We start from the raw sequence: 22612 nt of genomic DNA on the forward strand, positions 1-22612 counted from the left end.
CTTTCTGGTTGACTAGGCCACAGCAGTTCAGGAGCTGATTGCATGTGAACAGGTACAGAGAAGAAGTCCTAGTGGCTCTCTGCTGGTGCTGAGGCAGGAAGGGCCAGAAGCTGGTGAGCTTCCCTGAACCCTGGTGTGCCTGGGAGTCAGTTCCGAAGAAGGCAGCTGTCCCAGAGATGTGACAGGACCTGGCTGTTGTTTCTCTCTGACCCTAACAGGATTTATGCCCTGCATCCGCGGTGTTTTTCACTGTTTCATTCTTATTATTCTTATTCTCTTGGCGTCACATGCGTTTAGTGGATCTGGAAATCAAAGGCTGAAGGAAGCGCTGACATTGATCGTATCTGTTAATTGTGGATATTGCCAGACACAGGGCCCTTCTTGGAGCGTATACATGTTAAGAAGGGCAACACTTAGCCCCCAAAACAGTACCCCAGTGTTGCGTTTACATGCAGCAGAAATAGCTGGATGGAGAGAGATTTTGAGCCAGGGTCTGCCAATGCCACTTCAGCCTCAGGGCTGAGCTGGGCCTGGAGAGGAAAGCTGCTGAGCCACCGTTGGAGCAAATGACTGAGGACCTCTGCTGCCCCTACTTCTGCCCCAGAGCTGAGCTGACCTGATTGTGCTTTGGCATCACCACCCACTCTGGCCCCAACATCTAGCCTTGCCAAGTTCAGGTGCTAGTCATGACCATGTAGAGCTCACCGTGTACCCAAAGACTGTGGCAGCTTCCTGGCTGCTGGAGCTTTCCAGGCCCCCTATCTTCTGTTTATTCACTCAGCCAGCATTAACTGAGCATGGACTGGATAGGGTTGCTGCCCTTGTGGAATGCACCATCTGGAGAGAGAGAGGAATGTGGTATCGCAGACGCTACAGTTGCTGCCAGTTTAGGGATAGAAGTATCAGGGATGTCTTCCCAGAAGCAGTGATGCTCCAACAACATCTCAGGCACTTGGCTGTGGCCACATATCGGCTGCAGAAGGAGAAGCCCATGCAAGGCACCCACAGTTGAGGAAGCAGAGGGTGGCAAGCCACGAGCAGTGCCCTCAGGCACAGGATTCCAGAAGCATGGGCAAGAGCCTGGAGGGTCCACATCCCCACATTGGTTCTGGGGACATTTGCAACTCCTTGTCTTGAGTGTCAACAACAGGCAGCTCTTTGTTCAGGGCAGGGCAGGGTATTTGGAGATGACTGGTTTGCCCTGTCCAAAGCTGCTGCTCACACTGTTGAGAGGCTTGACGCCTGGGGTGGGACATGGGCTGTGTGCATATCGGCGAGGCTGTCTGGCCTGGCGGCTGGACAAAGCCTCCTAGTGGAGATGATATTTGGCCTGTGAACTGAATCAGGTGAAGGATAGGAGAAGAAAACAGCATATTTGGAGACTTAGTGGCCAGAGCATGTCTTGGCAGAGAAACTGGAAGGAGGCTGGAATGGCTGCACCAGGCAGAAGGAAGACTCCTAAAGTGGGGATGACGGGTAACCTGGGTCACATGTGCGAGATCTTCTTGTAGCCTGGGGGAGGAGCTTACACTGTCCTGAGAGCAGTGGGGAGCCTCAGGAGCCTGCCTCCAGAGTATCTAGGCATTAGTTACATGCCATGTTACAGATGAGATTGCCCAGGCACAGTGGCTCATGCCTAAAATCCCAGCACTTTGGGAGACCACAGTGGGAAGATCACTTGAAGCCAGGAGTTCCAGACCAGCCTGTCTCTACAAAAAAAAAAAAATACAAAAATTAGCTGAGCATGGTGACACATGCCTGTATTCCTAGCTGCTTGGGGAGCAGAAGTAGGATTGCTTGAGCCCAGTAGTTTGAGGCTGCAAGCGAGCTATGATTACACCACTGTACTCCAGCCTGGGTAACAGAGCCAGGCTCTGTCTCTAAAAAATAAATAAATAAACAGATGTGGCCAGGCACAGTGGCTCGCACCTGTAATCCCAGCACTTTGGGAGGCCAAGGTGGAAGGATTACTGGAGCCCAAGAGTTCAAGACCAGTCTGGGCAAAATAGCAAGACCCTGTCTCTACAAAATTTGAAAATTAGCCGGGTGTGGTGGCATGCACCTGTGGTCCCAGCTACTCAGGAGGCTGAGGCTGGAGGATCGCTTGAGCCTGGGAGGTCAAGGCTGCAGTAAACTATGATTGTACTACTGCGCTCCATCATGGGCAACAGAGCAAGACTCTCTCTCAAAACAAACCAAAACAGATGAGACTGAGGCCTGGCCTGAACTGAAAGGATACAAGGGCCAGGGGTGCACCCTGAATCTCCCATCTAGTTTGCTGCCTGACTTTGAAAGCCAACCAAGAGACCATGGCAGGAGACTGGTTCAGGGTTGCTGACCCTGGGGTTAGGAATGGAACCCAAGCCTCTTGACCCCTCAGGTAGTGTTCCTTCCACCTACATGTCTAGCTCCTCAGCCTGGCATTCAAGGCCCTGCCCTGTCCAGACTCCCTTCCAGCCATTCTTCCCACCACCCACACTCTCTCCCAAGACTACAGGTTGTGCAGGTCAGACTGGAGTCCAGGTCCTGCGAGGGCCTCTCCTCGTGGCCCTGTGGCCACCCCAAGTCCCCCACAGGCCACAGTGGACAGTTGGTCCACCCCACCATGCCAGCCATCCCCTAACTCCAACCTTTTTGCTGTGGAGGGTGAGCACTGGCTGATGGAGGACTCCTGGGCTGCCACGCAGGGATCTTGGTGCTGACCGAGGCCACTCAGGGTAACCATCTCCCTCCTCCTCTCACTTTCCCTGACACAGAGCGGTCTGGGAGGAGAGCAAAGGGCAAGAAGAGTGACTCGAAGAGGAAGGGCTGCGAGGGCTCCAAGGGCAGCACTGAGAAGAAAGAGAAAGTGAAGGCGGGGCCTGACTCAGTCCTGGGGCAGCTGGGTGAGTGAGGGCCATGCTGGCCTGCAGACACGGCAGGCTTGACCATCACCACGCTTGCAGCTCTGTCTGCCCTGCGGAAGGCCAGCTGCACAGAGTAGGAGACTGAGGCTCAAGAGCGGTAACCAGGCCCTTGCTTGCCCAGGTGCACACACCTTCCACCCACAAAGGAGACAGATCTCAGAGCCCCGTGTGACATCCTGGGAAATGCCCCGTCTGTAGACCTGGATGGAGGCTGGGCCACGCCCACTCAGGAACTGTCCAGTCATTCCCCTGGCTGGGGGGTCCTGGGTGCTGGATTTTCCCAGAGGCCCCTGGGACAGCCCCATGCTGGGAGGGGAGGATCTGCCAGAAAGCCCCATCCTTGTCCTACTCTCCCAGAATCCTCTAAGTGGGCCCTTCCTGCAACAGCAGCAGACTCTCCTGGAGCTGCCCAGAGGAGTGGCTGCAGGCTCTGGCCCTGCCCACCACCTCCACTGTCCCAGGCCTCCTGTTAGGCAGAGCAGCCTAATGGGAGCAGTGTGACTCATGGACCTCACGTGCTTCCTCCAGAGATCTCAGGGAGCATCATGGAGTCCCCTTCCAGACCTTGCCTCTGGGATGGAAGCCCCAGGTCATCCTTTCTGTCCCTCTGTCTCAAGAAGGGGACAACCCAGGCGTGGTGGTGCATGCCTGTATTCCTAGCTGCTCAGGAGGCTGAGTTGGGAGGATCGCTTGAGCCCAGGAGGTTGAGGCTGCAGTGCACCATGATCATGCCACTGCACTCCAGCCTGGGTGACAGAGCAAGACCCTGTTCCTTCATTTCACACCCCTCCCGCAAAAAGAAGGGGATAACTTGGGTGTCTAACAGGAAACCCAGTCTCCCGTCTCGCCAGCTGCCCCCTCCCAAGACCTCGGTAAGGAAGGAAGGCTCTGCCGCCCTCACATCTGCTGGCGTCTCACTTGCCTCCCCTCTCCCTGACATCCAGGAGGGACTGGATACTGCTTGCTACCCCTATTCGTACCTGATCCCTTTATCCATGCTCTTTGCTGCAAGCGCTGGGAGGCAACGCTTATAAAGACTGAGCGCCCTCTGGCGGCCTGAGGGCATTTTCCTCCAGATTCCTCCTTCCCCAACCCCACCAGAATGGGGGTAGTGGGCAGGTCCAACTTCGTGGGTAGCAACCTGTGCAGTGCCACGGGGTCCTTGTTCTTGGTTAATGCTCTGCTGCTGCCACCTTGAATTTTCTTTCCCATGGCAGGCTTTCTGGTAAAATCCAAAAAACCTGCTAGACAAACTAAAAGAGCTATAACACTCCACCTTGAAATTCTTAATAATATTTGAACAAGGAGCCTATATTTTCATTTTACACTCTAGCCCACAAATTATGAAGCCCATCTTGAGGGCAGCACGTCCTTCTGGAGAGAAGCGTATAAGTAGTCCCTACTCTTTGGTGGTGTTGGCAGGAGGGATGGACAAAACAAGATAGCTCACCTGGGTCTGGCACAGGGGGACAGAGAGAAGACGATGCCTGGTGGTGTGCTGGGAGCGTCAGTGGGCTTCCTGAAAGGGTGGGACACACGTCTGCTGGCGTCTCACTTGCCTCCTCTCTCCCCTCAGCAGGCCTGTCCACCTCATTCCCCATCGATGGCACCTTCTTCAACAGCTGGCTGGCACAGTCGGTGCAGATCACAGCAGAGAACATGGCCATGAGCGAGTGGCCACTGAACAATGGGCACCGCGAGGACCCTGCTCCAGGGCTGCTGTCAGAGGAACTGCTGCAGGACGAGGAGACACTGCTCAGCTTCATGCGGGACCCCTCGCTGCGACCTGGTGACCCTGCTAGGAAGGCCCGAGGCCGCACCCGCCTGCCTGCCAAGAAGAAACCACCACCACCACCACCGCAGGACGGGCCTGGTTCACGGACGACTCCAGACAAAGCCCCCAAGAAGACCTGGGGCCAGGATGCAGGCAGTGGCAAGGGGGGTCAAGGGCCACCTACCAGGAAGCCACCACGTCGGACATCTTCTCACTTGCCGTCCAGCCCTGCAGCCGGGGACTGTCCCATCCTAGCCACCCCTGAAAGCCCCCCGCCACTGGCCCCTGAGACCCCGGACGAGGCAGCCTCAGTAGCTGCTGACTCAGATGTCCAAGTGCCTGGCCCTGCAGCAAGCCCTAAGCCTTTGGGCCGGCTCCGGCCACCCCGCGAGAGCAAGGTAACCCGGAGATTGCCGGGTGCCAGGCCTGATGCTGGGATGGGACCACCTTCAGCTGTGGCTGAGAGGCCCAAGGTCAGCCTGCATTTTGACACTGAGACTGATGGCTACTTCTCTGATGGGGAGATGAGCGACTCAGATGTAGAGGCCGAGGACGGTGGGGTGCAGCGGGGTCCCCGGGAGGCAGGGGCAGAGGAGGTGGTCCGCATGGGCGTACTGGCCTCCTAACTCACCCCCTTCCCTGTCCCAGGCCCTGCCCTGGTCCCCCCACAAGGCCTCAGCCCAGTCACAACTGCCATTTCCAGTCTCTGCTGAGTGTCCCAGACCCTCGAGGCTGCCACTCCGTCGTGGTTTTATTTTTAATATAGAGAGAGTTTTGAATTCTACACTGTTGTCTTTCCTCTGTGCTGGCCTAGGACATTAGGATTCCTTCCACGGCTCCGGCCGCTAGGACCCTGCCAGGTCCCGCGCACCATCCCTGCCCTGCCCACGTGGTATTGCTGGGCTCCTGGCTAGATGCAAGCAAGGTGGACAAGAGCTCAGGACTCCAGCCCACTGCCACTGGGTGACACAGACTGTCGTTTGGGCATTATTTCATGGCAGATGGGCCAGTCCAGGGCCTACCCCGCCTTGCCCCCAGATCCCACTGGGGTCCATTTGGGGGGTCCTGCTACACTCCACCGATCCCCAAGGAAGTATAATAAACGATACCCAGCCAGAGTCTACTCACTGTCACAAGCACAACGAGTTTATATGAGAAAGCACTGAGGGGGTGCAGAGGGCCCGCTAGTTCCAGGGGAACTGAAAGCTGTTCCTGATCAGCCCGTATCATCTGAGGCCTGCCTGCCCACCCTGCCACCCTCCCCTCCCTTGCTGCTCTGCCCCTGCCAGTGCCCAGCCCAGCGGCTCTGGGAAGGGGTTCCCAGAATCCCTCCTGAGCTGTGCCATTTACTCAGGGGACTCCCAAACAGCCAGCTGCCAGTGCAGGTGGAGGGCTGTAGGGGAGGGCCAGTGCCCAGACAGGGTCATGGGGCTCAGACCAGCCCACTGTAGAGAATCACTCTGAGGCTCCAACTTCCTTCCTTCCTTCGGGGCCAGTCTCGGCCGAAGTCTGGTCACGCTCAGACAGAGCTGACCAGACCAGACCGTTTGCCTTTTCAAGTTTCCTAGTCCTGCTACAAGATGAGCTTCTTCCGTGGTTTCCTTTTGGAAACTCCTCCTTCCAACAAGCAGTGGGATCCCGGGGCCCAGGGCGGGCCGGTGTTGGCCGCTGGGGCTGTTGTAAGTCTTGCTGGATGTTCCCCTGTTCCTGAGCCTTAACCCCTCGCACAGCCATCCCCCCCCCCGTCCTGCCATCCCCCCCCGCCGTCCTGCCTTCCCCACCCCACCCTTAGGTCCCAGGTAGTTGCTCTGAAGAGTTTCAGTAGAGTGGCCCCAGGGTGATAGCTCAGGGAACAACAAAAAAGGAATTCCGTGAAAACATTTTTTTTTCTTTGATGAATTACTCCTGGGTCACTTCCACCACTGGTAAAGCCAGAACTTCTCCAAAAAGAACCTTGCAAAAAGTCCAGTGAATCAGTCGAATCATTCTGTGGATGCCAAAGAATATTTTGACCATAATACAGCACAGCCTGGACCTGACAACTTGTCATTTGGACTTTTTTTTAAATGGAGTTCTTTAGCAACAAAGTATAGAAACATGTTCATTGCACACACCCAAGGAGAAGAGCTCAAGCGCTTGGAAGAGGATGCTTTGCTGCTGCTGAAGTGTACCTGGGTGTTAGATTTCAGATCCTGGGCTGAGCCCACTGTGAGCTTTCCTAAACTGTGAGACTCACAGAGGGGAAAGATACTGACGGTGAAACCAGCATGGAAAACGTCTTTACCATGTGGTTCCCTCCTCCCCAAATACATAAAGCAAATAAGCAGGATGGGGAACAGCTTGACCTTCATCCACCCCTAACTCCAAAACTATCAAGGTACGACAGTGGCATTGTCATCGACACTCAATTTCATGTGAATTTTAGCAAAACAGGAAACAAAGATAATGACTCAGTTCAGAGGATCGGACAAATGTGTCTAGTCCGGGTGGACTCGGAGGGAGTGGGGTGGGCTTCAAGGATTCTGGGCGTTGGGATGGCATGAGCTACCCTGTAGAGTTTAGTCTGCCTGCCCGCCTTGGTAGTAGTGACCAGTCAGTGTCAGCATCAGTGTCCCAACCCCAGTCTCTGTTTACTGCCTTTGAACAGAACTTCTTCCTTCCCCATGCTTTGGGTCACCTCGGGCTGCAACCCTGTCTGTGCCAGATTGCCCGGTCTGACCCTGCAGGAAGCAAAGAGGTGAGCTTAAAGAACAACCAAACTCTGCCAGGGGTCCCAGAAAGCCCAGGGTCCAGCAGTCTCAGCACTTGGCCCCTTGCCCCTTCACACCATCCTGGGGCAGGGGCTGGGCCTCCCTGGTGGCAGGGGTGGGTGGAGAATTAGGGAGAGGGTGCAACGAGTCTGGCCCCTTGCCTCGGGCTGGCTGGTGTTCTTCCAAGAGCCTCTGCTCACATTGTTGGCCTCTGGATTCTGGCCCTTCTTCATTGGCTGTTGCTTTGGACTGGACTGTTGCTGAGCCTGTGTCCTGCAGAACCCAGATGTCTGTTAGGCTGGCTGGCTGCTGCGAGGGGAGGGGGGTGGCCTTTCATTTGGGGTGCCCTTTCACTCCCAGGCCAAGCCCTGGAGCAATCTTCTTCAGGCAGCTGTCTCCACCTCCAGGATGTCCAGCAGGCTGCAAGGAGAAGGATGCCAGCCACCCATCCTCCCCCAGTTCCCAGCCTTTCCCCTGTTGGTCACAGCCGCTTCTGTCTTTTTCCGGTCTACTGTCCCCAGTGTAGAGGGCTTTGCTGTCCCTGAGACTGAGGCAGGTTCCTTTTCCAGGTCAGAGGTGGAGGTAGATCTTTCTCTCAACCACATCTGCCTCCACACACAGCTCCTCCGCAGGGAAGGAGAAGCTGCTCTGTAACTCATTCTGGCTATCGTCCCCCTTCTCACTGACCTGACCGCCCACCACCTCCTTCCCCCTCATCACATGACAAAGGATAATGTGCAAGAAAAGTATTTTTATGTATCATAAATGTATTTTGAAACAAATGAGAAGAAGAAAGGTAGAAGGGTTTATTTTATTAAATGAGCCTGACTTAGTGACAGTGTGTGAGCATTTGCAATGTAAGGGCCTCAGCTTCCTTGGAGAAGCCACCCCAGGTTTCCAGACATAGATGTTGAATTGTTTGTGGGGGGTGTGCCAGGCCACGTCTCGTGTGTCCGTATGCAGGCATGCCTGTGTATACTGTGTATGGGCACACTGGGACTAGCTGGGACAATTCCTAGAGATTCAACTGCCCAATTCTAACCAACATTGGCAGCGGCTGAACTTGGCATTTCCTTGCTAACTGCCAGATGTGGCCAACCTTTGTCCATATGCAAACCACTGAAAAATGATCTGGATTTCTATAGCAAGGCCCTTGGGGAGGGCACTCTCCCATGCCCTTGGCCTCGCTGGCCACATTGGCCAATGAGCCAGGGCTGGAGTCTGAGACCTTTGGTTGTTCTTTAAGGCACCTCCTGCCACTTTCTCCCTCAGAGGCACAAACACTTTGTGTTCCACGTCAGTTTGAGGGGACGGTGGGGGGATGATATGAATGTCACAGGAGGAGACACCTTCTGTCTTTGTTTCAAAGAAAGTGATGTGCCATTTGTTAATATACAAGAGAAATATTGAAAATATATTGAAAAGAGCAATTTTAAATTATTTTTGGCTTATGTTGCAATATTTATTTTCTTGTATTAGAAAAGATTCCTTTGTAGAGAAAAAATGTATTTTTCATTAACGCAAAGACCTATTTCTCCTTTTTGTACATTGTCCATGTGCGCAACCCTTAACGAGCAATAGAATGTATGGTCACCTGGGTGTGGCCAGTGCCCGCTGTGCCCTGCATGATTCTGTGTTGCCGCTGCTGCATAGTTCCCAGCCCCATCCTGTCCTGCTCACTCATGGGGGCTTCCAGACCCCGGCCCCACCAGGGCTTGTGTCATAGGGAGCCCTTTGCACTCCTCGTGTGTTGGCAAACGCAGTTAATAAAGCAGTGTTTTCTGTGCTGGCTGGTGTGAGGCTCCATTGCATTGGATGGGGTAGGGAACCCTGGGAGTCCCACACACACACCCGACAATGGGCTCAGCAAAACCACGGGGTCCCTGAGTTTTCCAAGGGATCAGCTGCCACCTCCTAAGGAATCATAATAAAGATGTTCAGTGCACACCAAGGGCTATAATTTCAGAGCAGTATTTATATTTTTCATTATTATTATTATTATTATTATTTGAGACAGGATTTCACTCTGTCACCCAGGCTGCAATCTTGATTCACTGCAGCCTTGACATCCCGCGCTCAAGCTGTCTTCCCACCTCAGCCTTCCGTGTAGCTGTGACTACAGGTGCATGCCACCATGCCTGGCTGATTTTGGTAATTTTTGTAGAGACAGGGTTTTCCCATGTTGCCCAGGCTGGTCTCAAACTCCTGGGCCCAAGTGATCCGTCTTCCTCGGCCTCCTGAAGTCCTGGGACTACAGGCGTAAGCCGCCCCTAGCCTCAGGGCAGTATTTCATTTGATCTTCAATATGTTCCCCTGGAATTGAGAGGATGAGGGATGCACCTAAAGTCGAAGATGTGCTAAGAGGTAAAGCTCTGCATCCAAGGCAGGACTGCTGCACTCCCCACCTGCTACAACCACCTGTCTGGGACCGTAGGAAAGTTTGGGAGGAGCCTCCAGGGAGTGTCCCTAGGTCAGTGAAGATTTTTGCTTGAGTTTGTTTTTCATTCATGATTTTCTGAGCACCTACCCTGAGCCAGGCTCTGAAAAGAGTGTGGGGAATATAGCTGCTGTCCTTGCTTGGGGTGGCTCACACAGGCAGTGAGGGAACTGGGAGTTTTCATGGAGGCCTGGGCTGGTCTAGGGGTGAAGGGGTTCAGGAAGGGTTTCTCTGAGGAAGTGACACCATTAATTCATTGATTCATTGATTCATTCAACAAGTAGTCTTGACCGGACACCTCACTGCCAGTGTGCTGGGTTGTATACTGTGCATGTCACCAGGCCCCTGTCCCCCTAGAACCTCCAGACATTGGAGACCTAATGAAAAATAGTTGCTAGCCCAAGGGAAGCTGCATCGGAGAAAGGGATGACGGGCATTCCTCATAGAGGGTTTGGCCTATGCAAAGATGGATCAAGCTATATCGGGAGGGTCTTGAACCTCCTCTGAGGGCTCAGAACAAGGCTGTGAGGGACAGAGGTTACATTAAGACTCAAAGCATCTTAGCTTCTGGGGCCACTGACTTAGTTGTTTGCCACAGAGAATTGACCCATTTCCTCTCCAGAGCAGTAGACGGTAGGTTCCCAAGGGTGCCTCCAGATCCAATGTTCTGAGTCCACAATGCACAAGGTATTGGAAGTAAATTTGGGGTGGAGTGTGTGTGTGCCCAAAATGCCCGTGGAGGGAGGTCTCCCTGTTAGGGCACCTGGGAACCTGGAAAAACAGGCTGTGGATGTTCTCTCAGCCCCAGCTCCAGCAGCTCAGCTGTGAATGGGAAGAGCTCAGCGTCCTCAACTGTGGAATCAGCATGGGATGCTGGCAGGAAATCAGCCCTGGGGCTGAGGGGGTATCTGGGTGGCCAGCCCACCTGGCCATGGTAAGAAACTGTCAGCCCCATGGCCCAGCTGCCGTGGACTTGGCACCACAGCTTCTCCCTCCTCCTGCAGCCAGCCCAAAGCAGGACCACAGTGATCCAGAAGAATGACTCAGGCTTGCCCCTCACTCTAAAACCACACCTGTGTCGGCTGGGCCAGGTGGCTTATACCTGTAATGCCAGCACTTTGGGAGGCCAAGACAGGTGGATCATTTGAGGTCAGGAGTTTGAGACCATCCTGGCCAACCTGGTGAAACCTCATCTCTACTAAAAACACAAAAAATTAGCCAGGTGTGGGGATGCACACCTGTAATCCCAGCTACAGGGACTAAAGGGAGGTTGAGGCAGGAGAATTGCTTGAACCCGGGAGGCAGAGGTTGCAGTGAGCCAAGATCATGCCACTGCACTCCAGCCTGGGAGACAGCGCAAGAGTCTGTCTTTAAAAAAAACAAAAATAAAAACAAACAAAATAAATAAATAAAACCTCACCTGTGAACCTAACCCAGCTGATAAATGTAGGGCAGGGGGATTCAGGGTACATGTTGGTCTGTTCTTTAGAAATATAGTGCAAGTCACATTTGAAATTCTAGTAGCCCCATTTTTAAAAAGTGAAAAACAGGGCCAGGTATGGTGGCTAATGCCTGTAATCCCAGCACTTTGGAAGGCCGAGGCAGGAGGATTGCTTGAACCCAGGAGTTCGAGACCAGCCTAGACAACATGGCAAGACCCCATCTCTACAAAAAAAAAAATTTTAATTGGCTGGGCATGGTGGCGCACACTTTTAGTCCTAGGTACTCGGGTGGCTGAGGTGGGAGGATTGCTTGAGCTTGGGAGGTTGAGGCTGCAGTGAGCCATGATAGCACCACTACACTATAGCCTGGGCGACAGAGTGAGACTCTGTTTCAAAAAACAAACAAACAAAAACAGATATAGGGAATTTTAATAATATATTTTATTTAACCCATTACATCCAAATGTCTTTAAACATGTAATCAATGTAAAATAACTATTAATGAGAGATTTTGCATTCTTTTCACAATCCAGGGTGTATTTTACACTTACAGCACATCTCAATTCAGACTAGCCACATTTCAAGTGCTCAAAGCCACATGTGGCTAGTAGCTACCCTGTTGGGCAGCAGAGCCCTAGAGACCCTCAGCCTTCCCTTGAGTTGCCCAGGAGTCATCCAGGCTCCTATGGAGTGAGAGACAGATAGCCATGAGGAACCCCTGACCCCCTTCCCCAAGGGAAGGCAGGAGGTTGAGGACCACCAGGCCTGGCCCTGCATTCCCAGCCCTGGTCCCTCTGGGATCCTCTCTGCACCAGCCTACATGGCTGCTTGAGGGTGGGAGTCTCACATTTGATTAGCACTCCTAGGCTTCTCCCCTGGAGTTGGCTATCCCTGCCCGCTGAGAGCCCCTGAGTGTGGGACTGGAGGAGGATGGCACTGACCTGGTCGCAGCTCCCTCATGGTGGGCCAGTCCTCTTGCCACCAGGACTCACAGCTGATGGCATAGGGATCTGATGGGAGGCTGGGGGTGGTCTTGGGGACTACCTTTGTTTTTGTTTTTGTTTTTTTGAGACGGAGTCTCACTCTGTTGGCCAGCCTGGAGTGCAGTGGCGCGATCCCTCCTCACTACAACCTCTGCCTCCCGGGATCAAGCGATTCTCCTGCCTCAGCCTCCCAAGTAGCTGGGACTACAGGCACTCGCCACCACGTCTGGCTCATTTTTTGTATTTTTAGTAGAAACGGGGTCTCACCAGGCTGCCCAGGCTGGTCTCGATTTCCTGACCTCGTGATCTGTCTGACTCGGCCTCCCAAAGTGCTGGGATTACAGGTGTGAACCACTGCGCCCAGCCTAGGGAACCACCTTTCATTCATGCAGATATTGAGATATTGATTCAGCACTCACTGAGAATCTGCTGCAGGGCCCTGAGGACACTGTGGGGACAACACGCCCCTTCCAGAGACCAGGCCAAAGTGGGAGACAGACTTTAAGTAGATAATCACAAATCAGTGTGCAGTGACACACTGAGACTGTGCTGCTAGTGAGAGAGTATTAATCTGTGGGGTGAGGAAAGTCTCCATTGCCCTCTCTGAATTCCCTTAGTCGCTCCAAACTCCTGCAAGATAGGGTCTGGGGCGCCCCCTGCTGCCCGCTAGGCCCTAGCCCTGGCAACTCCCACCGCGGGTGGCAAGGCCCACAGGGCCAGGGCCAACCCCTCATTTCCAGGTTGCAGAGCTCCAGCCTCCCCCTCCTCTGTCCCTGCTGAGGCTCCTGCACTCCAGCACCTCCTGCTGCATGCCCCCTTGCCAGCCAGGGCAGAGTAGAGTCTTCTCTATCAGGCTTCAGTGACAGGGTGGTTGTTAAGGGACGAGGCGCCTCTTGGGAGAATAAACTATTGGCTGAGGTCCGCTGGGTGCCCAGTCCCGGGTTGGATGGGTGGCTAAGGAGACCCAGACCCTGCCAAAGAAAGGAAGGAAGTTCACAGCAGAGTGGAGAGAGAGAGAGCACTTGGTCCTTCTAGAGCTGGCCTCAGTCCTCCTTGCAGCCTCCGACTGTGTTCAGAGCGGCCAGAGGAGGCAGCAAAGGCATCTTTTCTTGGCGATGAAAGCTTCAGGACTCACATAGGCACCTCTGGCCCATGCTGGAAATGCAGGTAGCTCCAAGTGGCCTCGCAACTACCCTGTCTCAAAAAAAAAAAAAAAAAAAAAAAAAAAAAAAAAGAAAAGAAAATTAAAATAAAAATAATGAATAAAAAAGAGGAGGGCCGGGCGCGGTGGCTCACACCTGTAATCCCAGCACTTTGGGAGGCCGAGGCAAGCGGATCACAAGGTCAAGAGTTTGAGACCAGCCTGGCCAACATGGTGAAACCCCGTCTCCACTAAAAATACAAAAATCAGCCAGGCATGGTGGCGGGCACCTGTAATCCCAGCTACTCAGGAGGCTGAGGCAGGAGAATCCCTTGAACCCAGGAAGCAGAGGTTGCAGTGAGCCGAGATGGTGCCATCACACTCCAGCCTGGGTGACAGAGCAAGACTCCATCTGAAAAAAAAAGGAGATTGGCCAGGAGTGGTGGCTCATGTCTGTAATACCAGTGCTTTAGGAAGCTGAATTGGGAAGATCGCTTGAGCCCATGAGTTCAGGCCCAGCCTGAGCAACATAGTGAGACCTCATCTCTACTGCAAAAAAAAAAAAAAAAAAAAAAAAAAAAAAAAAAGAGACAGGGTCTCACTCTTTGAGATAGGGTCTCACTCTGCTGCCTAGGCTAGAGCACAGTGGTGCAATCACAGCTCACTGTAGCCTTCAACTCCTGGGCTCAAGTGATCCTCCCACCTCAGCCCTTGGTCTCTCAAAGCTCTGGGATTACAGGCATGAACCACCATACCTGTCTGAAGAAAATTTTTTTAGAGAGATAATAAAATATGGACTTCAAGGCAGCCTTTTGAGTTCAGATGGACTCCCTGCCAAGAGTCAAAGGGAGGGAAGAAAGGATGGGGTTTCAGTCAAGCAGGTGGCTTAAGGGCAAGCTCATCGTAGCAGAGTATTGCTTGGCCCCCAGTACTCCAAGCCAGGCCTGAGCTCAGAAGCATCCGCACCAGCCCATTCTGAGGAAACATGGGTAGGGATACAGGGTCCCCATTTGCTGGCTGGAGAGATTTTCAGTGGGTAGGAGGGAGGCTGTCAGATTTAGCAAATAAAAATATAGGGCATGTAGTTACATTCAAATTTCAGAGAGTAGTTCCTCAGTACATTTTCCAAATATTGCATCCTGTATTTTCCCTGGCATTCCTAGTGGGAAGCCTCAGGTCCCTCTTTCCACTGTGTTCCAGGCAGGGGGCTGAGGCAGGAGCATGGTTTTCCATGTTTTATACACTGTGGCAAATCCTAAACTATCCCAACAACCCCAACATGATGACACCTACAGTGTGAGAACAATGGAAAATGGGCTGCAGCCAGTGACCCAGGACACAGCTGGGCCTGTCTTAACTCAGCCACAGCCTCCCTTATACCTGACATTCCAATCCAATGCTGAACAGAAGCTCCGTAGTGTCCTTGAAGGACCTCTGCTCCCCAGAGCTCACAAGCCCATTTATTTGCTGTCTCAGCTCAACATCTAAAGAGTTCAGATTGGTGGGAGCACTGTTCACAATAGCCAAGAGGTAGGAGCAACCTAAATATCCATTGACAGATGAATGGATAAAGAAAATGTATACACATACAATGGAATATTATTCAGCCTTAAAAAAGAAGGAAATCCTGTCCTGTGCTACAGCATGGATCAACCTGCAGGAAATTATGCTAAGCAAAATAAGCCAGTCAAAAAAAGTCAAATGCTGTATGATTCCACTTATAGGAGGTACTTAGAGTAGTCAAAATCATAGAGCAGAAAGTAGAAAGGTAGTTGCCAGGGGCTGGGGGGAGGAGGAAGAGAATTGATTAGGAGGCACAGAGTCAGGACGGGAGGGTGGTTCCAGGGCTCTGCTGCCCATCAATGGCATGTGGTTGACAATATTGTACTTTACACTTGGAAATTGTTGGGAGGGTGAATTTATTTTTTTATTTTTGAGACAGGGTCTCACTCTGTCACCCAGGCTGGAGTACAGTGGCACGATCTTGGTTTGCTGCAACCTCTGCATGCCCCCAGGCTCAAGTGCTCCTCCCACCTCAGCCTCCCGAATAGCTAGGACCACAGGCACACACTATCATGACCAGCTGTTTTTGTTGTGTTTTGTTTTGTTTTGTTTTCTCTAGTAGAGCCAGGGTCTCGCCAAGTTGCTCAAGCTGGTCTCAAACCTCTGAGCTCGAGGAATCTCAAAGTGCTGGATTACACGTACCTAGCCCGGGAGAGTGAATTTTGTGTTTTTGGGGTTTTTGTTTGTTTGTTTTGCTGCAGTTTAAGAAAAAAATGATACTGTAGAAAAAAAAAAAAACCTGCTACATGTAATACCACCCAACTGCTTTGTTGCAACAAACATAATGTAAAGCAAAAGAAACCATTTTATTTTACTTCTGGGGAATTTTTTTTTTTAAGATAGTTTCACTCTGTCACCCAGGCTAGAGTGCAGTGGCACGATCTTGGCTCACTGTAACCTCCACCTCCTGGGTTCAAGCAATTCTTGTGCCTCAGCCCCTCAAGTAGCTGGCATTATGGCACTCACAACGAGCTAATTTTTGTATTTTTAGTAGAGACAGGGTTTCGCCACATTGGCCAGGCTGGTCTCAAACTCTGGCCTCAAGTGATCCGCCTGCCTCAGCCTCCCAAAGTGCTGGGATTACAGGCGTGAGCCACCGTGCCCGGCCATCAGAAGAAACCATTTTAAAACAGTTTTTTTTTAAAAAGAGTTCATGTTGGGCCTCTGCTTTTCCTAGAGCACCATCCGTGACTCCCCTAAGTCCCCCAACTCAAACTCAAACTCAAAGCTCTTTTGAAATTATAATCACCTCCCTTCCCTAAAAGGCTTTTTGCACACTGCTCTAGGAAATTACGGCTGACCCAGGAGCGAGAAGTCTTCTCTCTGCCACTGACTTGATGGACCCAGCTACTTGGGAGATACTTCTGCATCTGTACAATGGGAGAAGAGGTTGGGGGATATCTGTGACCTCTGAAGTCCATCTCCTGTGGGGAGGGGCTGTGGTCAGAGGGCAAGGGAAAGCTTTCCAGTGTTACCGGATGGAAGGTCTTGACTGTGAGTTGTCCAGGTTCTTACGCACTGAACGAAGAATTGAACAAAACACACAAAGAAACAAAAGAACAAAGCAACGAAAGAAGCAATGAAGGTGATTTACTGAAGTGGAAGTACACTCCACAGAGTGGGAGCAGGCTCGAGCAAGCAGCTCCAGAGCCCCATTGCAATGTTCTTTAGGGTTCTTATTAAACTAAAAGAATTTGGTGGCTGGTGGATTAGAGCTCACGCCTGTAATCCCAGCACTTTGGGAGACCCAGGCGGGTGGATCACTTGAGGCCAGGAGTTCGAGACCAGCCTGGCCAACATGGTAAAACCCAGTCTCTACTAAAAAAAAAAAAAAGAGAGAGAGAAAGAAAGAAAGAAAAAATTAGTTGAGCATGGTGGTGTGCCTGTGGTCCCAGTTACTCTGGAGGCTGAGATGGGAGGATTGCTTGAACCCAGGAGGCAGAGTTTGCAGTGAGTGGAGATCAAGCCACTGCAATCCAGCCTGGGTGATAGGACAAGATTCTGTCTCAAAAACAAAAAAAGAATTTGGTAACACTCCTAGGTACCCTTTAAAGGCCTCCAGTTGGTTATACCCTATGACAGATTGGCCAGCAACTAATCAGAGGCTGAAGTGGATACTTGGCCCGTGGTCAATCAGAGGCTGAAGTGGAAATTTCTGTCTTGTTATCACAGGAGTGAGGATGTGGCCTGTATGCTGCCTAATCTTGCCTAGAAGTGGCTGCACCTGCTGTTCTTTTGCTTATGCCTTGATCCTTGGTGACCCTAATTCCCTATTCTCCTATCTCACCAGGGCCCTTTAACTTGAGGCCAGCTGGGTGAGGTGGGGCTAGCTGGCAGATGGGGCTGGGTGAGCCTCCATACACAACTTGGGCAGAGGAGAGAAGGAAGAAGCTTTATCCACTCAGCTTGTCACCTTTGCACCATCAGAACACCATTGTGGCGGCTGACTCATCTGTCACCAGGTGAGTGTGCCATTAGGAGCACAGGATTAGTCATGGGCGTGGTCATGGGGTGAGATGCCAGGTCGGGCTGGGATAGTGACACGGTGAAGCATGGAGCAGGGCCTAGAGGCACTGGAAGAGAAGAGGAGGCATCCCTCCTCAGGCTTGGAAGGGGGCCTAGGCCTCCCTGATAGGGATGGAGGCCTCTGTCTTTGGGATAATGCTCAAGTGGGTTGCCTCGGGTCTAGAGGTTTGTATTTAGTGGGTGGTCCCCCTTATTCTTCCCTCCATTCTCAAACTCCTGACTTTAGGTGATCCGCCCACCTCAGCCTCCCAAAGTGCTGGGATTACAGGCATGAGCCACTGCTCCCGGCCACTTCCCTCCATTCTCAATGAACATTAAGCAACATGTGGCCATTCAAGTCTAGAGAATTTATCCATGAATCCACCACGAAAGAGGAAGCTGCTAGAAATGGAATTTTGTTGTCCTTGGGGTAATGGAAAATTATTGACCTGCATTCTGGCCCTTAGTTTCCTCATTTGTTAATAAGGATGAGAGCTCCTGCTGGGCCCACCATGCAGGGTGGCTGAGAGGCTCAAAGAGGACATGGGTATGAAGTGGACAAAATGAGGAGCCACAAAAGGTGTTAGAGGAGGGCAGGACACAGTGGTACAGGAGAGCACTCACAGACTTGCTGACTGACCAGAGGCAAGGAGGCCAGAGGGATTTGTTTACCAACTCTCACTTCCCGGATTCTGAGCCGGTAAACCCTGTTTGTTTACAAGTTTTCACGGGCCTCCCTAAGCCCAACGGTGGTCTGGGGTCAGTTCCACTCTAGGGACTGGCCCGGTGCAGCCCCTAGATGGGGGCTGGTTGCAAACAGCTGATGGTCAGAGAAGCCGCTTCAGTCACATATCTGACAGTCAGCTGCCTGGGCCAAAAAACCACACAGCTCCCCAGCCTTGTGGGTTACTCAGGCCCCTTGTCAGCTCTGTGATCATCCTTCACACCTGAAAGCTTGTAACCCGAGAGGCTAGAGGTAGTTGAATAGGACATCCCTCCTGTGCCCTCACCTCACCCCTTTTGCAAAAAAGGAACATTCCATTGCTAGGGATTGAATGTTGTGATTAACATGAAACTCAGAAGAACAGCCAAGGGTTTGTAGAAGCCAAGGAGGAAAAGTGACTCAGCAAAATAAACTTTCACCTGTGGGTACTCTGAACTGCTATTTTGGGACTCTGGGAGCCTGCCTGGTTCTAGTGCCTGTTGCTTGGTATCAAAGCATTGCTCCCTAAATGCCAGCTGGAATATTCATGCCCATTCCTTACTGAAGTAGCATCCTAGGAGGCTTGGGAGGGAGGTCTGATGGATGGGCCTTATCTCTGCCACATCCAGGTAAGAGTCACAAGTGAAGCCTGGGCAACCTGGCAAAACCCCATCTCCACAAAAAGATACAAAATTAGCTGGGTGTGGTGGTGGGCATCTGTAGTCCCAGCTACTCAGGAAGCTGAGGTGGGAGGATAGTCTGAGTCCAGGAGGCTGCAGTGAGCTGTGATCATACCACTGTACCCCAGCCTGGGTGGCAGAGTGAGACCCTGTCCCAAAAAAAAAGAGTCTCAAGTGAGCCAATGTCACAGGAGAAGTAGACATGCCCCCGTAGAGGCATCGGGGATCAGAGGGGACTCTCAAGAAGAGAGTAAATCTTAGGGATTCCTCTCCCCTCCAGGAATACTTCCATCCAGTCAAGAAAGGGCATGGGATTGGCACTAACTTGCCCCGTCAATTTTAACTCCTTCATGGCCCTCATCTGAAAAGCCTCATGTGGTTTGTAGGACCTCTGAGTTTGGGGAGAGTGTGAGAGCTCATTTCATCCAATCACTATCCCATGGAGTTCCCCTCTCTAGGAGAGACTGTTTGAATTCCAACAACAGCCCATCATTTGAAAGGCAACCCACAGCTGTGTTAAAAAGGTCTCTCTTAAATTCAATTGTAATGTCTCTTTGACACCTGACATTTCTATTCACAGGTCCTCTTGAGTCCTGGAGTCATAGATGAAGTCCAATTCACTTTCACTGGGCAGTCTTTGGACTATTTCATGACAGTTAAGCTACTCTGCCCACTTGATTTTTCAAGTTCAGTACTTTCCTAGGGGATTAAAACACAGGGTATTCTCCCTTCTTCATCCATTACACTTCTGCTTAATGGATGAAACCACCATACTGCTCCACTGTTCAGGCAAAGACAGTCCCAGGTCAGAGGTTTTTTTGTTTTGCTTTATGTTTTTTTGAGACAGGGTCTTGCTTTGTTGCCCAGGCTGGAGTGAACTGGCATGACCATGGCTCACTGCAGCCTCTACCTCTCAGGCTCAAGTAATCCTCCTGCCTCAGCCTTCTCAGTAGCTGGGACCACAGGTATGCATCACTATGCCCAGCTTTTTTTTTTTTTTTTGGTAGAGATGAAGTCTTGCTATGTTGCCCAGGCTGGTCTTGAACTTCTGGCTTCAAGTGCTCCCCCAAATTTGGCCTCCCAAAGTGCTGGGGTTACATGTGTGAGCCACTGCACCCAGCCTTCTTCTTTTTCTTTCTTTTTTTTTTTTTTAAGACGGAGTCTTGCTCTGTCACCCAGGCTGGAGAGCAATGGCGTGATCTCAGCTCACTGCAACTTCCGCTTCCCAGGTTCAAGCCATTCTCCTGCCTCAGCCTCCCAAGTAGCTGGGACTACAGGCATGTGACACCATGCCCAGCTAATTTTTGTATTTTAGTAGAGACGGGGTCTCACCATGTTGGCCAGGCTGGTGTTGAACTCCTCACCTCAAGTGATCCACCCGCCTCAGCCTCCCAGAGTGCTGGGATTACAGGTGTGAGCCACTGTGCCTGGCCGCCTTCTTTTTTTTTTTTTTTTTTTTTTTTTTTTGAGACTGATCTCACTCTGTTGTCCAGGCTGGAGTGCAGTGGTGCAATCATAACTCACCACAGCCTTGACCTCATGGACTCGAGCGATCCTGCTGCCTCAGCCTCGCAAAGTGCTGGGAATACAGGCATGAACCACTGCACCTGGCGGAGGTCAGAGTGTCAGAGAAGTGTCAGAGAGGGGAGGGGTGCTGTCTCGGCTCCCCGCTCCTAGCTCTCTACAGTGAGTCCCCATCTCCACCCCCAGGGCCCAGCCAGGCTTTTTGTGCGTAGGCAGCAGTGCCTGCTGTTTCAACAGCTTCATCTTGTGTTTAATCTTCCCCATCATCAGTACCACACATTTTGGTACACATGCTCAACAGTCATTTTGGCATTTTGAGGACACATGTCTGTCCAGATGGTCTCAACTTCAAATAGTCTATCCTGATCTGATGGCCCCATAAGCAGACTATCCTGGGGGATCACTGGCTTCTACCTTGGCTTGGAAAACATGGCCATATGTCATAAAATTGTTGGTGTTGGAATTGGTGTTAGATAGTTCAGGCCTCATGCTCTGTGGTCTTACCCTCCACTCTCGCCTCCTTCTAGGACACTCTCCACGTGACACCTCTTCAGGCACTGAGCTCTACCAGCTCCCAAGTCATTGTGTGCTCTTTCCTGCCTCCACACCTTTGTCTTTGCTGGTCTCTCTGCTTGGAATATCCCCTCTTGCCCCTTCTCCACTAAACCAGTTTGTACTCCGAGATTCAGCTCTGGTGCCCCCTTTCTATAAACCTCCTCCATAATGTGTGGAAGCCTTCTCCTTTTGCCTTCCATTCTGTCTTGGGCAGATCTCTGCACATTTTCTTTATGCCATGCCAGCCACCAGCAGGCAGGTGTTCAGGAAGTGCCTGCTGAGTGGCTGACTAAAAGGCAGGCAGACAGAAAGTGAGACCAAGCACCCAAGCCAGAATCTAACACTTCAGCACAATTGGTTAAGTCCCTGGTGATAACCAATCATTTCCCTTATGTAAGGTTTTGTGTGTGTGAGAGAAAGAGAGAAAAGAGACAATCTTGTGAGTAGGGACCTTGCCCCTTATTTTGTCCAGCCCAGCACTGTCATAAGGAGTGGGCAAAAAGGCCACCCAGTCCCAGGTCATCAGAAGGGTCAAGATATCACTTTTCCAAGGAGGAAGGCAGATTGAGTAAATCCAAGAGGGGCTCCACTGCCACCCGAGTGCCAGAGGATTCAAGGGACTCATGATTCTGAGCCTGGCCCTAAATAGAAGTTGGGGTGGGAAAAAAACTCAGCGTGTTCTCTAAATAGCTTCATGCCCTTGCCATCTGCTGCCAGGCAGTCAGGAAAGAAATCATTACATGGTTTCCTTCAGTAACTGTAAGAGTTGTGTTCTCATACAATGGAGCCCCCAGTCACAAACAAGCTCCCACCTACTTTTCCTCTCTGGGACCCAGAACGGGGCTAGAACTCACCTATTCTGTCCATCACCCAAAGAGGGGCTCCTGGACTCTCAGTTCTCAAAACTGAAGTCCCTGGAATGGAAGAAAGTCAACTTGCTTCTCTCCAGACTGCAATCAATCTGGTTTGGTTTCTGATTAGTAAATCAGGAGGTGGACCTAGTGACTTCAACTCAAACCCAGGGGCTTGGAGAGAACCCCAAGAATGGTGCTGTTACTTTGTAATGTTTACCATCTCTCCAGCTTCTGAGATGTTACTAATCGCATATGAAACAAGACTACAATACCATCAACTTTCGCATTAAATTCCTTTTTTTTTTTTTTTTAAGACAGAGTCTCACTCTGTCACCCAGGCTGGAGTGCAGTGGCGCGATCTCGGCTCACTGCAAGCTCCGCCTCCTGGGTTCACGCCATTCTCCTGTCTCAGCCTCCCGAGTAGCTGGGACTACAGGCGCCCGCCACTATGCCCGGTTAATTTTTTTGTATTTTTAGTAGAGACAGGGTTTCACCGTGTTAGCCAGGATGGTCTCGATCTCCTGACCTTGTGATCCGCCCGCCTCGGCCTCCCAAAGTGCTGGGATTACAGGCGTGAGCCACCGCACCCAGCCTAAATTCCTTTTAATTCAAAAAACCAGGGAACAGGCTGGGCATGGTGGCTCACGCCTGTAATCCCAGCACTCTGGGAGGCTGAGGCAGGTGGATCGCTTGAGATCAGAAGTTCGAGACCAGCTTGGCCAACATAGTGAAACCCCAACTCTACTAAAAAAAAAAAAAAAAAAATTCAAAAATTAGCCGGTTGTGGTGGTGCAC

At 51.7% G+C, this 22612-nt stretch overlaps 1 protein-coding gene and 1 non-coding gene across 27 annotated transcripts in view, besides 6 other annotated features; one reads left to right on the top strand and one right to left on the bottom strand.

The window, feature by feature from the left end:
* The window catches only part of JADE2 (jade family PHD finger 2), a 59219-nt gene extending 50003 nt beyond the window's left edge, over window positions 1-9216 (top strand). For 9 of the 26 annotated variants that reach the window (NM_001437916.1, NM_001437914.1, NM_001308143.2 and 6 more), the window contains 2 exons: window positions 2757-2885; window positions 4483-9216. In NM_001437916.1, coding sequence (NP_001424845.1) covers window positions 2757-2885; window positions 4483-5306 — 953 coding nt within the window. In that variant the 3' untranslated portion in view covers window positions 5307-9216. The remainder of the gene's footprint in view (window positions 1-2756; window positions 2886-4482) is intronic. The other 17 variants (NM_001437915.1, NM_001388188.1, NM_001437917.1 and 14 more) reach the window with 3 other exon arrangements.
* On the bottom strand, window positions 4120-4179 carry LOC124901191 (U7 small nuclear RNA). The gene has a single exon (XR_007059143.1). It is a non-coding gene; the product is annotated as a U7 small nuclear RNA (small nuclear RNA).
* Window positions 7064-7596: an enhancer, noted in NCBI's record as "H3K27ac-H3K4me1 hESC enhancer chr5:133916765-133917297 (GRCh37/hg19 assembly coordinates)". NCBI's record gives its function as "activates a minimal SCP1, AML or CMV promoter by ChIP-STARR-seq in naive H9 embryonic stem cells {active_cell/tissue: H9 hESC(naive)}" and the evidence as "EXISTENCE:reporter gene assay evidence [ECO:0000049][PMID:30033119]".
* Window positions 7597-8128: an enhancer, noted in NCBI's record as "H3K27ac-H3K4me1 hESC enhancer chr5:133917298-133917829 (GRCh37/hg19 assembly coordinates)". NCBI's record gives its function as "activates a minimal SCP1, AML or CMV promoter by ChIP-STARR-seq in naive and primed H9 embryonic stem cells {active_cell/tissue: H9 hESC(naive and primed)}" and the evidence as "EXISTENCE:reporter gene assay evidence [ECO:0000049][PMID:30033119]".
* Window positions 17528-17587: an enhancer, noted in NCBI's record as "active region_23156". NCBI's record gives its function as "activates an Ori minimal core promoter by ATAC-STARR-seq in GM12878 lymphoblastoid cells {active_cell/tissue: GM12878}" and the evidence as "EXISTENCE:reporter gene assay evidence [ECO:0000049][PMID:35858748]".
* Window positions 18408-19001: an enhancer, noted in NCBI's record as "NANOG-H3K27ac-H3K4me1 hESC enhancer chr5:133928109-133928702 (GRCh37/hg19 assembly coordinates)". NCBI's record gives its function as "activates a minimal SCP1, AML or CMV promoter by ChIP-STARR-seq in primed H9 embryonic stem cells {active_cell/tissue: H9 hESC(primed)}" and the evidence as "EXISTENCE:reporter gene assay evidence [ECO:0000049][PMID:30033119]".
* Window positions 20468-20607: an enhancer, noted in NCBI's record as "active region_23157". NCBI's record gives its function as "activates an Ori minimal core promoter by ATAC-STARR-seq in GM12878 lymphoblastoid cells {active_cell/tissue: GM12878}" and the evidence as "EXISTENCE:reporter gene assay evidence [ECO:0000049][PMID:35858748]".
* Window positions 21083-21152: an enhancer, noted in NCBI's record as "active region_23158". NCBI's record gives its function as "activates an Ori minimal core promoter by ATAC-STARR-seq in GM12878 lymphoblastoid cells {active_cell/tissue: GM12878}" and the evidence as "EXISTENCE:reporter gene assay evidence [ECO:0000049][PMID:35858748]".

Source organism: Homo sapiens, chromosome 5, assembly GCF_000001405.40.
Source record: "Homo sapiens chromosome 5, GRCh38.p14 Primary Assembly".
In the NCBI taxonomy this organism is placed as follows: domain Eukaryota; kingdom Metazoa; phylum Chordata; class Mammalia; order Primates; family Hominidae; genus Homo; species Homo sapiens.